Raw genomic sequence first — 15,371 nt, 5'->3', positions numbered from 1 at the left:
TCGGCATCATTATCGTAAGATACCGTGCTGATTCCATTAGGCCAAAGGGCTATCTTGGAATTCTTATATTAAAATCTCTGAAGATTATTATTTTGTCATTTGAAAGAACTATCTAGTTTGCTACAATTTCATTTGAGGAACACTGGGTCTTGATTATACAAGACGATGTTGTGATGGTCCTGAGAGTTTACCATTAATAGCTCGTTGGTGTGGACAAGGTGAAAAGCGTTAATGCTGTGGTGTATGTAAGTCGTCACATCTTCAAACCACTTAATCCCTTCTTGCTAATCAGAGTCGGCCATTCTCAGCCTACATTAGACCTTAGTGCAGTCTCCAAGAGAAGAAAACCCCAAATGTGGGTGAAACTAGAACTGCTGGGGTAGGGGTGGGTGGTTGTCATTGCCCTTCAGGTCTCCTGAGCCACTTAGACCTCTGTCCCCATCTCATGCAGGGCTTCTACTCAGCCATAGGAGAGAACCTTGCCTTCTGATACCTTCTGAAATCTCCTGGACTGTACCTTCCATGCACTTCCTTTGTGTTTAATAGACAGAAGTTATTATTGTCATCTCTCAGTAGATGTACTGGAGTAAGAAAACCTTCCCAATGCCCTGCCAATGATGTCACTCGCTCCTGTGGTGGTTGTGACTCTGTCGCTGCTGGTGAAGACCTTTCTCAGGAAAAGGAGCAAAGTCTGCAGGCTTTTTGCCAACAGTGTCCAACTTACTCCATAAACCAGCAGTTGTTGGGATGTTTTCTGCAGGGCAGACCTCTTATTTCTTTAATCACTGGTAATAATGATGTTTTTGTCATATTAAAGGGGAAAGAAGAGAAGCGATTGAGAATAGTTTGAGAGGATGACTGTGCCGTCTCTCAGGTCCAGTGACAAGAGGACTACAATGGGTAGCTTTCAGAACTACATATGGTCTTCCTTCCGAGGGAGTTGATTAAGCGACTCCGGATGAAATTGAAATCCTGTGATTTGACCTTTGTCTGGCCTGGGAGGGCTGCAATTCGCATAACAATTTCCTTTTGTTCTTTGTTTGGAGTTATTAATCCAACATGAGCCTCGAATTAATCAGGGGTAGTGCATAGCTACATTTCTAATTCACAGCTCCGCAGCTTGTGTCTTTTTTAATTAAGGCCGAATGATAGCAGACCTTAGCCCTGATTGCCACACTTGCTAACCACACATTGAGGGATGAAGAGGCTAAACAGGCAGAATGAGATTACTTCAAGGTTTCTCTTAATTGTTTTCTTCCTTTAAGTAAAGAGCACTGCCTGAACATTGTTAATTCTGAGCTGGGAGAGTTTCTTTTGTCTGTTTTTACTTGTCTTGACTTTGGAATAGGGTGGAGAGAAACCCAGGTTTGTGTTAGTAACCTCAGGTGTAACGATCAAAGGGATTACTCGAGTCACAATTTCAGTTATTGATTTGAACTACATCATCATGGGGCATCAGGGGTTGGTTAATGTTGGGGCCCAAGTCAAAGAACTTTGACCTTTAGTTACCTACATATTGTATAGAGTTTGGTGCCTTTGATATCCTTAAGGACTGCTCAACATTGATTAGTCAAAATTTTGTAGGAGTAAATCAGTTTAAAAATTACTCTAATGTGACTTAAATTTTCCAGAATTCAATATCACATGGTTCTTTTACTTTGTTCAAAGGGATTTAATTACTAAAAGGGCCTAATTATAGTTTAGCTCCACCAAACTTGCTTTGGCACACAGTGTGGAACCAGGATACATCCACGTGAGGTTTTAGTAATAACTTTTTTCCCTTTGGTAAAAGTAATTAATTGCCTCCATTCCCTCAACTGCTTCTCGTAGTTTAAGAGGGAAATATAATTTACAGATCTAGATCAAATGATGTTAAGTAAAATGGAGCTTCAGTTCACCAAGTTACTAAGCCTTTCCCTGGAAGAGAATGGCTTCTTATAGTAGTAAATCAACTCTGAGACACTGGGCACATTTAATTAACCACAGTTGCAGTGAACTTGTGAGGATCTTTGTGCAACTCCACAGGTAACTTACTCCTACCTCCAAGTGTCTGACTAACCTAGGAGAAATTGACTCTTCATCAACATATATTTTAAGCTTTATACCAAGATGCAGTGTGAAATAAACATAGCTGTTTGCTTGCTCTATGACCATTTCCTTTCTGAGAATCAGGCCTTAGAATAAACAAACAACAAACAAATAACAGGAAGATGGGCCAGTGGATCCCTATGGTTCCTTCCATCTTTAAAACTTTATAATTCTATATATCTGTAATTCATTTCCAATCCCAGATTTGGCAATTTATTTTTCTAGTTCTGTTTTGAATCTATGAAAATTAGTAGGCCACCCTTGAGTAGAGATGTCTATATGTTATCTAAAGAATTAAAGGCTGGAAAGCATTTTCATTTCAATGCATTATATTTGGGCATGGTGGCTTATGCCTGTAACCCTAGCATTTTTGGAAGCCAAAGGAGGATCACTTGAGTTCAGGAGTTCGAGCCCAGCCTGGGCAACATAGTGAGACCTCATCTGTACAACATTTTTTTTCTAAAAGTTGGACGGGCATGTGGCATGCAGCTGTAGTCTCAGCTACCAGGTGGTGGAGGGGAAGGGTTGCTTGTGCTCAGAAGGTTGAGGCTGTAGTGAGCCATGATGGTGCCACTGCACTTCAGCTTGGGTGACAGAGTGAGACCCTCAAAAAAATGCATGATTATATTTTAAATTGATCAATGTTATATTGTGTTTGCTAATTTTTAAATAAGAATTTTGTGTGAAGGGCAGTATTTTAGAGAATATAATTCAATTTCTAAAGGAAAGGACACTGAACTGGGAGTCAGGGAACCTCATGCCAGGTTATAGCTCTGCTTTTATTTTTTATTTATTTATTTTTTTTCCAGACAGAGTCTTACTCTGTTGCCCAGGCTGGAGTGCAATGGGTGTGATCTCAGCTCACTGCAACCTCCGCCTCCCAGGTTCAAGCGATTCTCCTGCCTCAGTCTCCTGAGTAACTGGGATTATTGGCACATGCCACCATGCCCAGCTAGTTTTTGTATTTTGTATTTTTGGTAGGGTTTTGCCATGTTGGTCAGGGTGATCTTGAACTCCTGACCTCAGGTGATCCACCTGCCTTGGCCTCCCAAAGTACTGGGATTACAGGTATGAGCCACCACGCCCAGCCAGCTCTGCTCTTATAAATATGACCTAAAGTGTTGAAGTCTCATTTCCAACTTATGCAAAATTTAGATTCCTTCAAAGCCTGATTTTCTGTAATTCTAATAATTTCATCACAATTAGGACTTTGAAACCAATGCATCAGATACGTTGAATATTGTGTTTTTCTTTCCTAAAATATATTCAGCTGTTTATGGATAAATACGTAGAAAATTGCAGGTAAAAAAAATCTAAGCAAATGATAAAACAGCAACAAACTGCAAGGGAGAAGATATTTTAGTCCATATTTTAAATTCTAATTTTCACTTTTAGAATGTTTTAGAAGAGGCTGTGAAATGGACGTGGTCAGGGAAGCTGGGCTGAAAAGAAGAATCTCTGGGAAAGCCGGTGATGTAGGGGCAGATAAAGGAAGATGGAGGTGTGAAGGAAGGATTTAATAGGATGAAAGTGATTTGAGCATGTGTATATAGGTTAAGGAGAATGAGCTGGTAGAAGATATAAGAAGGTTTGGGAAAAACTGATGGAGCAAGATCCTGAGTTAACGGGAGCAGAGTGGATCCTAATCATTAGTGGGGGTTAACCTCAAACGGGGGAAGATGCCTAGTCCCCTGACAACGCATCTTTCCTGCAGAGATGTTTTAAGGAGGGTTGCAGAAAGTGATGTGTGTGTGGACGAGGCAGGTAGTACATCTCTGTGGGAAGTGAGGTCATCTGAAAGTGACGGTGATAGGGAAGTAAAGAAAATGGTGAAGGTTGGAGACAGCTATGAAAATGAGTGAAAGGACAACTGAGAAGATTCTTGCATAGGGTTAAGAGCACAGGTCTGCCTGGGGTAGTGGCCCTGGTCTGTGGTGTTGCATTCTTTTCTTTTCTTTTTTAATTTCATTTTATTTTATGTTATTTTATTTTATTTTATTTTTTGAGATAGAGTCTCACTCTGTCACCCAGGCTGGAGTGCAGGGGCGCGATCTTGGCTCACTGCAACCTCCACCTCCTGTGTTAAAGTGATTCTCCTGCCTCAGCCTCCCAAGTAGCTGGGATTACAGGCGTGCACCACCACGCTCTGCTAATTTTTTTTGCATTTTTAGTAGAGATGGGGGTTTCACCATGTTGGCCAGGCTGGTCTTGAACTGGCCTCAAGTGATCCGCCTACTTCAGCCTCCCAAAGTGCTGAGATTACAGGCATGAACCACCACACATAACCTGTTGCGTGATTTTCTCCAGCTTAGTTCAGCTACCCCAGGTTAGATGTGCAGAAGAGGCAGGTTGTCGGGTTAAGTCAGGATGGGAGCTTCTGAGAAAGAAATGCACAGGGATAAAGAGGACCTTATATGCGTTGGTGCCTTTGCCTTAATAATTCCTCAAACAATTTTAAAAGACAAATACAATTATTGACGGTTTAAAGAGATGTTAAATGGGGCCACCAGTGGCTCGACACTGCCTCACAAACATTCTTGTCCCAACACTGTATACAGTCAGTTAATAGTTTTAACACATTCCTTTTTATTATTTCCACCGACTATATTACATTGAGTCACTCAGTGAATTCTTTGGATGAGAATATTTCTTGTAAGGTTTACATAAAACTGAAAAGTAAAGTGGTTTTGGTGAGTAGATATCATTTTACAGTAAACATCAAATCTACGGAAAATCTAGAAGCAGAGACACAGATAACTATGACCACACTAATCCTTGGTTTTCAGCACGGTGTCACAGCCTTTTGCTCTCTTTCTCTGTTGGCTGAGATTCAATTAAAAAAAAAAATCTTTGGAAAAGGTTGGTAGTCCTATGCAAGTCAATATATTGTGGCCACATTTCCAAAAGGCGGACGCCAAACTCTTTGGGGTTGTGATATACCCAGATGGTCTCCCATTTTTTTGCGTTTCTGCAAATGTTATTAGCAAATACAACAATTTTTCCTCCAAAGTCATTAGAGCCCATTTGGCACCTTCTCTAATCTGTCCTACTTGTTACCTTTTAATTACTCTGTGAGGGGATCTAGTTGTCTTGTTGTTGTTGAGGGCCAAATGACCAAGGGGTTAATGCTTTTTCTGTCCCTGGCCAATTGGTTTTTAGTCAGTAGTTATTTATGGTTAAGTCCTGGGACCATTAGTTCTCAAGTATGTGCAGCTGTACTCTTCACAATTACTCGTCCATAAGCAAATGTGGACTTACTTTTTGTGTATGGTTGTTTTTTTTCCCGATTGGTTAGACAATCTGTTGTCATTTATGAATGATTCTTGTTGATGCAAAACATGGCATTGGATTCTGTTTTATTATTTGGATTCCATGTTTCATAGGGTGCTGTAATCTTGATTCAGACAAGGCACGAGGGTAGGTACCTCCTGTCACTAGTGACAAATTGCTCCTGTGTAGCAAAATGTGAAATCTTGCCCACCGCATGTTAGCTGCACCATTCTCCCGAAATCAGCATAGGTGCTGATGATCCTCATTGTGAAATCACTGACTGGTTGGCCTTGGCCTTTCTTCCTCATGCTCTGTTCTTTTGGACATAAGGTAGAGATTACTATTAATGGTTCTTTCAGTTCCTAGGAGCTCCTCCCTCTGTGCTGTCTTACTGTGATTTTTTTTTTTTTTCTGCCCCCATTGAATAGTAGTCTTTGATGTCACACAAGAGAATACTGTTGGCTAACAGTCTGGAGGCTGCTTCATTTGAGCTAACCACCACATGAAAACAAATGTGATCCATCATATTTCATTAACTAGCTGTCCTCCTTTTGGGCGCCCTTTTTTGATGTCAGAGTTGCATCCTGACAGGAATCAGAAAGATACGTGTGATTAAGAACAGTAATAATGCTTATTGCATTGTATTGTAAATTACCTTCCTGGGCCCTGCTACTTTATCAGCCCCACTGGCATTGGCTCCCGTACATTTTTGACTACTCAGTATATACAGTGTATTAGCGCAATGGAGATCATTATGTGGCCTGTATTTGAGTCATTTTTATTTAAGATGCCAAACAATAAGCTGTTGATTGGGGGAACAAGAGGCGAACAATAATGTTCTGTGTCACATAATACACCACCATTTTCCAGCTTTGCTTTAGAAGGGCCCTCTTTATTGTTTTTGTATAAAAATGGTTCTTAGGAGGAGGAATATTTTGCTGAGGTATGTCATTATTTTGCAAATTTCTATTATCTCATCATGTTGTCTTCATTGTAAATTGCAGCTAATTAGGAACCTAGTTAGAGCCCCAGCTTTGAGGCTGGCTTTTTTGTGAAAAGAGCCCACCGATTACCGCACTACAAGAGAGGAAGGGAGAGAAAAAGGAGATTAATCTGGTTACCTAGGCGACACTCGCTTCCATCTGCGAGGAACAATACATTTTTGTTTCCTTGGCTCAGTTCAGATCTGTTTTGTTTAGAGGGGGAAAAAAGGGAGAGAGAGAAAGAGAGAGAGAGAGACAGAAAGAGAAAGAGAGAGAGAGGGAAAGAGAGAACCTAGCTCCACAACAATGATGAATTCTGCCTAGCCCAGGCTTATGTGCTTGATTCCTCTGCAAGTTAGAGGTCTCTGGGGAGTGAGAAGATGAAAGAGATAAGCTCCAAAGTTGTCAAAGGTCATGACCTTGCCACACAAAGCCAGCAGTTTTACCTCTAAATCCCCTTCTCCCAAAAAGCACTTAATGAAATAATATACTGTGCTTCTCAACACCCTGTAGTCTGTAGTCTATATTAGGAACAAGGCCCCCAGATTGTGAATTTAAGGAGTCATTTAAAATTTCATACTAAATAATCAGTGATTATAAGAAGCTACTTATGGGTCCAGTTTTTGTCTCTGCAACTTAGACTTTTCTACTCTTTTTTCCAAGTGACTTTCCCAAAACCTACCATTTTATTGTAACACACAATGTTTAAGGTATGAGTTGACTTTTCAGTGGATGAAACAAACCTATTGAATCCACTCAAGATCAAGGCTTATTAACTACTCAATTCAAGTTGCATTTGTTGTACATCAAACTTTTAAGTCTTTAGAAGAGTGGCCATTTCGTTCAGACATGTGTGGTGCTGCCAGGCTGTTTGCTGCCTTATACATAGTCACCAGAGAAAGGGCTGAGGATGGAGCAGGAACTGAAAGAGGCTAAAAGGCTCAGAAATCTCAGGGCTTCTTTAGGCAGGTTGGCTAAACCCACAGCCTCTGATGAGCATAATGCTTTCTCCCTCATATTCTCACAGGTTGGTATGCCGTCATGCATAATGAGTAGTTATCCAGGAAGGTTATATGTGATGACATACGGTTAAAGGAGGCGCTAAGAGAGGAATGTTGGCTTATCTGAGCTTTCCAGTCATAGAGTGCATTGATTAAACAAGAGCAACTAGCTTATTTTAAAATGCCCTGTGGAATCCATGCTTCATCTCCTCATCAGTTCTGTTTCCGAAATCCATTGCTAATAAAAGGAAAGTAAATCTTTTCATAAAAACTACAAGTCACGAAGGGTTCTCAGGTTCCTGTACACTAATAGACTAATAGACACTTCTCTTCAAATGGTATTACCCATCTCTCTCTTCTTATTTGCAAATGGGAAGAAGATACCAGCTCAAGTTGATTCTGTGTTTATCACTCATCTAGCCATCTAGAACAGCTGTACTTTGTCTTATTTCCACAATACCCTTTGGGCAGCTCCAAATGGGGCATCTCATGTGAAATAGGATGTATAAATGGTCTTAGAAATCTATGAAAACCATTTAAACTACAGCATTCTAATTTGTTCTAATATTTACTATATTTTATGGATAAAAATAATAAGCCTTACTTTATATCTCAAACTTCAGCCTTAAAAATGGTCTTCTATTTGTTAAGCTCTGAAGGAAATCAGATTAGTTTTGCAATTTTCCCATGAGTCCCTCAAATAAGACCAGATACAAATTAGTTCACTATAGCAGACCCTCCGCAAGGGTCTTCTCCAAGTATCTTTTTACTGTGTAAAGGACAAATCACCAAATTTCACATTGTTATTAAAAACTAGAGCTTCTTTTTGAAGCTTGGGAAACCAGGTTACTCTTGGCAATGGCACAGATTAAATATGCAGATACGTTTTAGAAATTCTCTTTTTAAATAAACAAATGAAATGGTCTCTTCTTATCTCTGAATGAACATTTTTCATTAAAATTATTAAGCTGTCTTAGGTTTTGAGGGGACATGTTCTCAATACCTCTTTTTTATTATGAAGAAAGTAAGTTTCGTAAATATACAGGGAAGTAGTTATAGCAGTTAAGTCAACACTGTTCAGACTAGCCTTCTTTACAGAAAGTATTGGAGCTCTAATGTGCACTTATTAAGAGGGCACCATTGTATTTTTTCTCATCTGTCTGCAGAGTCAGTCCATACAATTCCTGCTCTAAGCTTGACTAGAGACACATACAGAAACTCATCTCTTTATAAAGGCTTTGAATGATAATATGCTGTGAAGGTAGGGAAATAAAATGTGAAGATGATTTCGTATGTGCAGAAACTTTTTTTGTTCATGTTGGATAAGACACAATTTTTGAACCACAAATGTATTAATCTTTCATGGGAATGAAGTGATCACCAAATGAGATGGCAATAGCTACTTATCAATATGATTTATCAATAGTTCCTATTGCTTCTACTGAATAGATTTAGGGTGCTTCTACTGAATAGATTTAGGAAGTGTTTGGTAGTTCTCCATTGCGCTAGTGATGTCTCTTGTCTTCAACACTGATTTACCCCTGTTCACCCAAGACCTTAGGTATCAACCTCTTAGGATGTAACCTCTAATATTCTGCCCTAAAACAGTGGTTAAAAATGGATGTAGAGGAAAGAGTGCCACCTGCTGATTTCTCATCCTAAAGCAATTCTGATTTCCTTGGAGGTTTGTCAGACAAGATCTAGCAGTACCTGGTAGTATTTATTAAGCCATAGGTGACAAGTACAAAGCCTAGATTTGTAGGCTACAGTTTTGTAATCATGGAGTTATGAGGATGAGTCAGAGATATTCAAAGATTGATCACAAAATGTTTTCCTTCACTTTAAAATTATCTACTGTGAATTATGGGTTTGAAAAAAAATTCAAATCCATCATTTCATCAGCTTTTTACATCTCATTGAAAATTGTAGACAGTAGGACTTCCGTGTCATATGAAATTTCCATGTCCTGAATGTCTTCTGGACTCTTTCCAGTGTGGAAAAATATGTCTGATGTAAGTTACCTTTGTGATGTTGACTTGGAAACTGCCCTCATGAACAAGACTTTTCTTCATTCTGTCTTGCCAAGGGAACATACTTCATTCTAGTTGCCTGTGTTACTATGGAAAGAAGTTGCTTAAAGTAAAAATAAACAACCACTTGTCCGCTAAATAACCCATTTGCAAATTAAGATTCTAGACATTTACCATTTCTGTTTTTTTTCTGCTGAAGTCAGCAATTTGATGAAATTTTGTAAGTTTTTGAAGAATTATTAGTATGCAATTACAAAAAGTTAGCAAAAGTGATCTGTGGCTAAAGAACGCATGGACCTCTAACTGTTGAATAAAATTTGAAGTCCTGGGAAAAATGTTCACCTGAGTGTGATTCTAACATCAGATATCTCAGTTTAACCTTTTCTTTTTTTTCTACACTTGTATCAAAGATTAATAGGAGAAAATAATATTTTCTCTTGTTAGTCAATTGGCAGAGGAAATGTTCCATGTTAATACTCATTCGTTTAGGAAGACTCCTAGTATAAGTGTCATTTTAAAAGTTGACCAAGATAATAAATAAACTGCAATAGGGGATAAGTTTCACTTCAGATACATTACTTTACTATCCTTAATTGTTACTTTAGAATGGTCGCCGTTAACCTGTGTCTCCAGTGTTAAGGTGATTTTAACTCCAGTCAACTCAAGCCTGAATCAGGTTGTAGGCACAGCAAGAAGAATGAGCAACAAGAGGTTTTTACCACAAAGGAATAACTTGAGAAATGGGCCAGAACTGCTAATATCTCTTCCTACTCTACAAAATAAAAGTTGTTAACAAAAAATATGGAATCTTCTTCTTTTGGGAAAGTAAAAAGAAAGAATAGATGCAAAGAAGGGAGAGAATTAGGAAAGAAAATATATAAGGAAAATTTTAGTCACAATGGGCTCATCTACAATTTTGGTAAAATAAAACGTATTTCCCAATCCTGAAAAAATAGGAGATGATTATCAAGTCATTGATATGAATCACCATGGTGGCCACTTCTATTTAGGTAAAGTAAATTTGAGTGTGTGTGTATGAGTGTGTATGCATGTGCGCATGTGAATTATTTGTAAGACAAGGAACATTGTTTTCTATTTTTTTTAATTTGATTAATTGTAGATAATCTGCAAATAAGCAATTCTGCCTATATGTAAGTAGCCCTGCTGTATTACAAGCAATTTTCTAAATAGGCTACTTCAGTTTATTGCTGTATCATTGTCATGATTTCCCCTTTATTAGAAAATAAATATTTCCAATATGTACTTCTTAAAACAAAAATAGTGTTTAGCAATTATGTTGTCATTTGGGATTTAGTCCACTGGTCTCTTTGGCATCTAAACCCTATTAATATTTCAGAATATTATTCTTTTTTTTTTTTTGGAAATGGAGCATGGCTCTGTCACCCAGGCTGGAGAGCAGTGGCATGATCTCGGCTCACTGCAGCGTCTGCCTCCCAGGTTCAAGCAATTCTTGGGCCTCAGCCTCTTGAATAGCTGGGACTACAGGCATGTGCCACTACACCGGGCTAATTTTTTTTTGTATTTTTAGTAGAGATGGGGTTTTGCCATGTTGGCCAAGCTGGTCATGAGCCCCTGACCGCAAGTGATTCACCTGCCTTGGCCTTCCAAAGTGCTGGGATTACAGGCATGAGCCACAGCACCCGGCCTAGAATATTATTCAAATTTTTAAAGAAAGATTCTCCAAGAAATGCACAGCACTTGGTAGCAATGGCAATTTTTTAATAAGGTGTAAATTATCTTTCTTCCTTGGCCCTGGATTATGATTGTGTTCCTTTGGTTTAGCCTCTTGTATGTGCAATTTAGGCAAAGCAACTGCTACCTCCTATTTCTGTTTCTACCTATATAACATTTTTCTTACGGGGATCAGATTTCTCAGGATGCAATCCAATGTGTTATTGCTAGTTACTTCCTTTTCAAATTTCTTTCCTCCATACACACATATTCATTCATCTTACACATATTTATTATCTTTGTATGCCAGACATAATCCTAGAGATGCACCTTGGGGTATGTGAGGAAACAAAACCAACACAGATCCTTGCCCCTGTGGAACTATATTCTAGTAGCAAGAAAGGTCAAAAATTAATAAGCTTATCTTGACTCTGAAAACGTTGACAAATCTATTGATAAATGGAAAAGTTTCTGGCACATTGTAGTTATTCAGTACATTTTCTTGTTTTGAGAAATTGTTTTATTGCTAAGAAACACATGAAAATTGTTATATTTCTACTGATGGAAACTGAATCCAAAGCTTGGACTAGATTTGGGTGATTGAATGAAGATAAGAAAATACCAGCTAATGGGAACACGCTAGGTACTGGAAGATATCTTCTTTGCAAGAGGCCAAGACTGACAATATAATTCCAGCAAGAAATCTCTACTTTGTTCATTGTCCCTCCTTAAATTTTTCAAAATTTGTATCTTAGTAGGTTTTTATAGTTTCAATTTCTGGGGGAGGGTATTAGGGATGGGTGGGAACCCAATACCATTTTGACCAAGCACAGATTTAAACATATTCTTAAATAATGTGACCTGATATCTCTGTTTGTAAAATTTAATCATAAAAATATTCTTGACTAAATACCACAGGCCATCTGTAAGCTTCCATTTTCTTTTTGGCTTTCATAAAATAATGAATGTTTCAAGCCAAAGGCATTAGAAATACTCTGATCTTTTTAACCTCTTCTTGTAATTTGATAAACCCTTGAAAATCTGCTGAAATAGAGCCTGTCACTCCAAAATTTAATATATATATACATAAGATTCTGCTCTAAATTTGAGGTAATTTGTAGAACCCATGAATCTCTTCAGTGGCTCTCAGATCTGATCTAAGTGTAGTCTACTCTGTTCATTTTACACCTGAAAATATAGGATGCAAATAAGTTTTGATTATATAAGACCACACAAGCAGTGAATGGGAGCCTAAGAATCAAAAAGTCTAATTCCTACCTAGTCTGAATTCTTTCCACACAATACCCAATTCTGTTTATCTATAGCTACATTAAAAACCAACCCAACACTCAGAGGCTTAAACAAACAATTTATTATTCTTTTCTGCTCCCGATGTTTGATTGGGTTTAACTGGATGGGTCTCACGTGGAATCTCTTATGTAGTTGTAGTCAGATCACAGCAGGGCTGAAATCATCTGAAGGCATGGCTGGGCTGGATATCCAAGATAGCTTCTTCGCTTATATGGCTGACATGTCTGCTGGGATGGCTGTAATAGCTGTAAGCTTGGTATTTTTCTTTTCCCTGCAGCCTCTTCACATGGTAAGCTCTTACAAAGCATGGCAGTCTCTTACAGGGCAAGTGACTTCTTCCAAAGTGAACATTTCAGAAGACATTGGTAAAAGCTGCAAGATGTATTATGACCTAGCCTTGGAAGTCATGCAGCATCATTTCTGCTGCATTTTATGGGACTAAAAGTAGTCACAGGGCCAACACACAATCTTAAGAGGAGGTGAGTCCACAGGGGTATAAATACTGGAAAGCATGGTTCATTAGGGAGCCATCTTTAGAGGCTAGCTACCACCTACCCTGTTAAGTGTTGGCCATATCTGTCTTTTGGGAGAGAACTTCTTTAATAACATAGGAATTTACCTGCAAGTTATTCAAAATATGAATATTTAAATTGTAATACTGAAAATGATATATTTTCCAAAAGAGTCCATAATTTCTTTTACTTAATATTAAAATAGAGGTCATAATACCTTAAAGAAATAAGCTCAGGGAATTAAGAGCTTGGATTTTTTTTTCTTTTATATTTTGAACTAGACCTCAAAAATATATAGGTGGATTTAATCCAAGCTCTGTACTAGGATGTCCATCTATGCCTCCTGGTAATTGAATTCCACTGACTGACATAATTAGGCCCTATCTGTTAAACCTGTTGTGTCAAAGTCTTCTTGAGTGTCTTCATTTACATATTTCCAGCGTTGCAGAAACAATCATAATAGTCGGTTCTGTCAAGGCCCATTGTAGAATGCTTTTATTCTCTGATTGACAGTGATAATAATTGATACTATGTGTCCTTTATATTAGAGTAGTTGTTTATTTGGCATAATATTCTGCAAAATGTACACTGAAAATCCTTAAAAAGTGTTTTGGTAAAAGTAGCTTCATCCATTTTTCACTCGTTATCTCGAATGTTTTGGATCAAACTGTCCCTAAATTAGTAGACTAGAAAAATAGCAATCTTAGTCTCTTGTTTCAGATATTCCTGGTCTCTATAGTTATTTCTCTCTATAGACGTTTCTGGTTTATTGAGTGGCAGCTATACTTTAAAATACCAAAGAAGATATACTTTTTCTGTCAGCTCATTTCTTAAATTTAATTAGGAAGGCTTTGTGAGACTATTTAGGAACTAAGGAAATGGACATAGCATAAAATAATTCAGAAATAATGGAATATTAAGGACTTAAGTAACCCCTAAATCTTACTGCCTCTGTTTCTTCATTTAAGATATATATATATATGTGTGTGTGTGTGTGTGTGTGTGTGTGTGCGTGCGTATGTGTATATATAAATACATTTATATACATTTATATACATAAATATATTTATATACATTTATATACATTTATATATATAAATACATTTATATACATTTATATATAAATACATTTATATACATTTATATATATAAATACATTTATATACATTTATATATATAAATACATTTATATACATTTATATATATAAATACATTTATATACATTTATATATATAAATACATTTATATACATTTATATATATAAATACATTTATATACATTTATATATATAAATACATTTATATACATTTATATATATAAATACATTTATATACATTTATATATATAAATACATTTATATACATTTATATATATAAATACATTTATATACATTTATATATATAAATACATTTATATACATTTATATATATAAATACATTTATATACATTTATATATATAAATACATTTATATACATTTATATATATAAATACATTTATATACATTTATATATATAAATACATTTATATACATTTATATATATAAATACATTTATATACATTTATATATATAAATACATTTATATACATTTATATATATAAATACATTTATATACATTTATATATATAAATACATATATAAATGTATATATATATATATATATATTTTTTTTTGAGATGGAGTCTCGCTCTGTCACCTAGGCTGGAGTGCAATGGCGGGAGCTCAGCTCACTGCAACCTCCACCTCCTGGGTTCAAGTGGTTCTCCTGCCTCAGCCTCCCGAGTAGCTGGGATTACAGACATGCGTCATCATGCCCGGCCAATTTTTGTGTTTTTGTAGACACGGGGTTTCACCATGTTGGCCAGGCTGGTCTCGAATTCCTGACCTCAGGTGATCCTCCCGCCTTGGCCTCCCAAAGTGCTGGGATTATAGGCGTGAGGCACCGCACCCACTTCAGTTAAGATATTAATGCCAATCAGCTAAGACCTATTTGGGGCTATTTGAGGAGGATGAATCAATAGATCTTTTCTGTCTGATTTTTTTTTAAAACAGCCATTATACAAATAAATAAGACAGGTGAGGACTAAAAGATTACCTTTATTACTGATAAAGGTAATATCGGAGAATATGGACAAGGAATCTTCCTAACACTGAGTTACAGGATCAGGCAGATTTGTCTACCCAATCCTGGAAGGAGTGGATGAAGACAATCCTGGAAGGAGTGGCACAGGTCCAGGCACAGAACACAGGGACAACTTGTGATCTCTGTAAACATCCAGCTCCCGAGACACAAAAAGAGAAAGGGACTGAGTGACTTATGCTCAATTTCTGCTTCTAAACCCACCAGAAGCAGAAAAAAGTTCTGTACCTCCCTTAGAAAGCAGTAAATAAGGGGACCATGATAAACAGAATTTCAGGATAATGGAACCCCACAAGTAAGGACAACAAGAAGAAATGCATTTTGCCACTAATATTCCCCAGCTTT

At 37.2% G+C, this 15,371-nt stretch overlaps 1 protein-coding gene across 22 annotated transcripts in view, besides 1 other annotated feature; it reads left to right on the top strand.

The window, feature by feature from the left end:
* SOX5 (SRY-box transcription factor 5) overlaps window positions 1-15,371 on the top strand; it is a 1,033,147-nt gene that overhangs the window by 540,959 nt on the left and 476,817 nt on the right. The gene's annotated exons all lie outside the window — the stretch shown is intronic.
* Window positions 8,823-9,117: a silencer, noted in NCBI's record as "tiled region #3652; K562 Repressive non-DNase unmatched - State 13:Ctcf". NCBI's record gives its function as "represses a minimal TATA promoter and a strong SV40 promoter by Sharpr-MPRA in K562 cells {active_cell/tissue: K562}" and the evidence as "EXISTENCE:reporter gene assay evidence [ECO:0000049][PMID:27701403]".

Source organism: Homo sapiens, chromosome 12, assembly GCF_000001405.40.
Source record: "Homo sapiens chromosome 12, GRCh38.p14 Primary Assembly".
Taxonomy (NCBI): domain Eukaryota; kingdom Metazoa; phylum Chordata; class Mammalia; order Primates; family Hominidae; genus Homo; species Homo sapiens.
The sequence above is the reverse complement of the archived record's forward strand: the minus strand, read 5'-3'. Positions and strand labels throughout refer to the sequence as shown.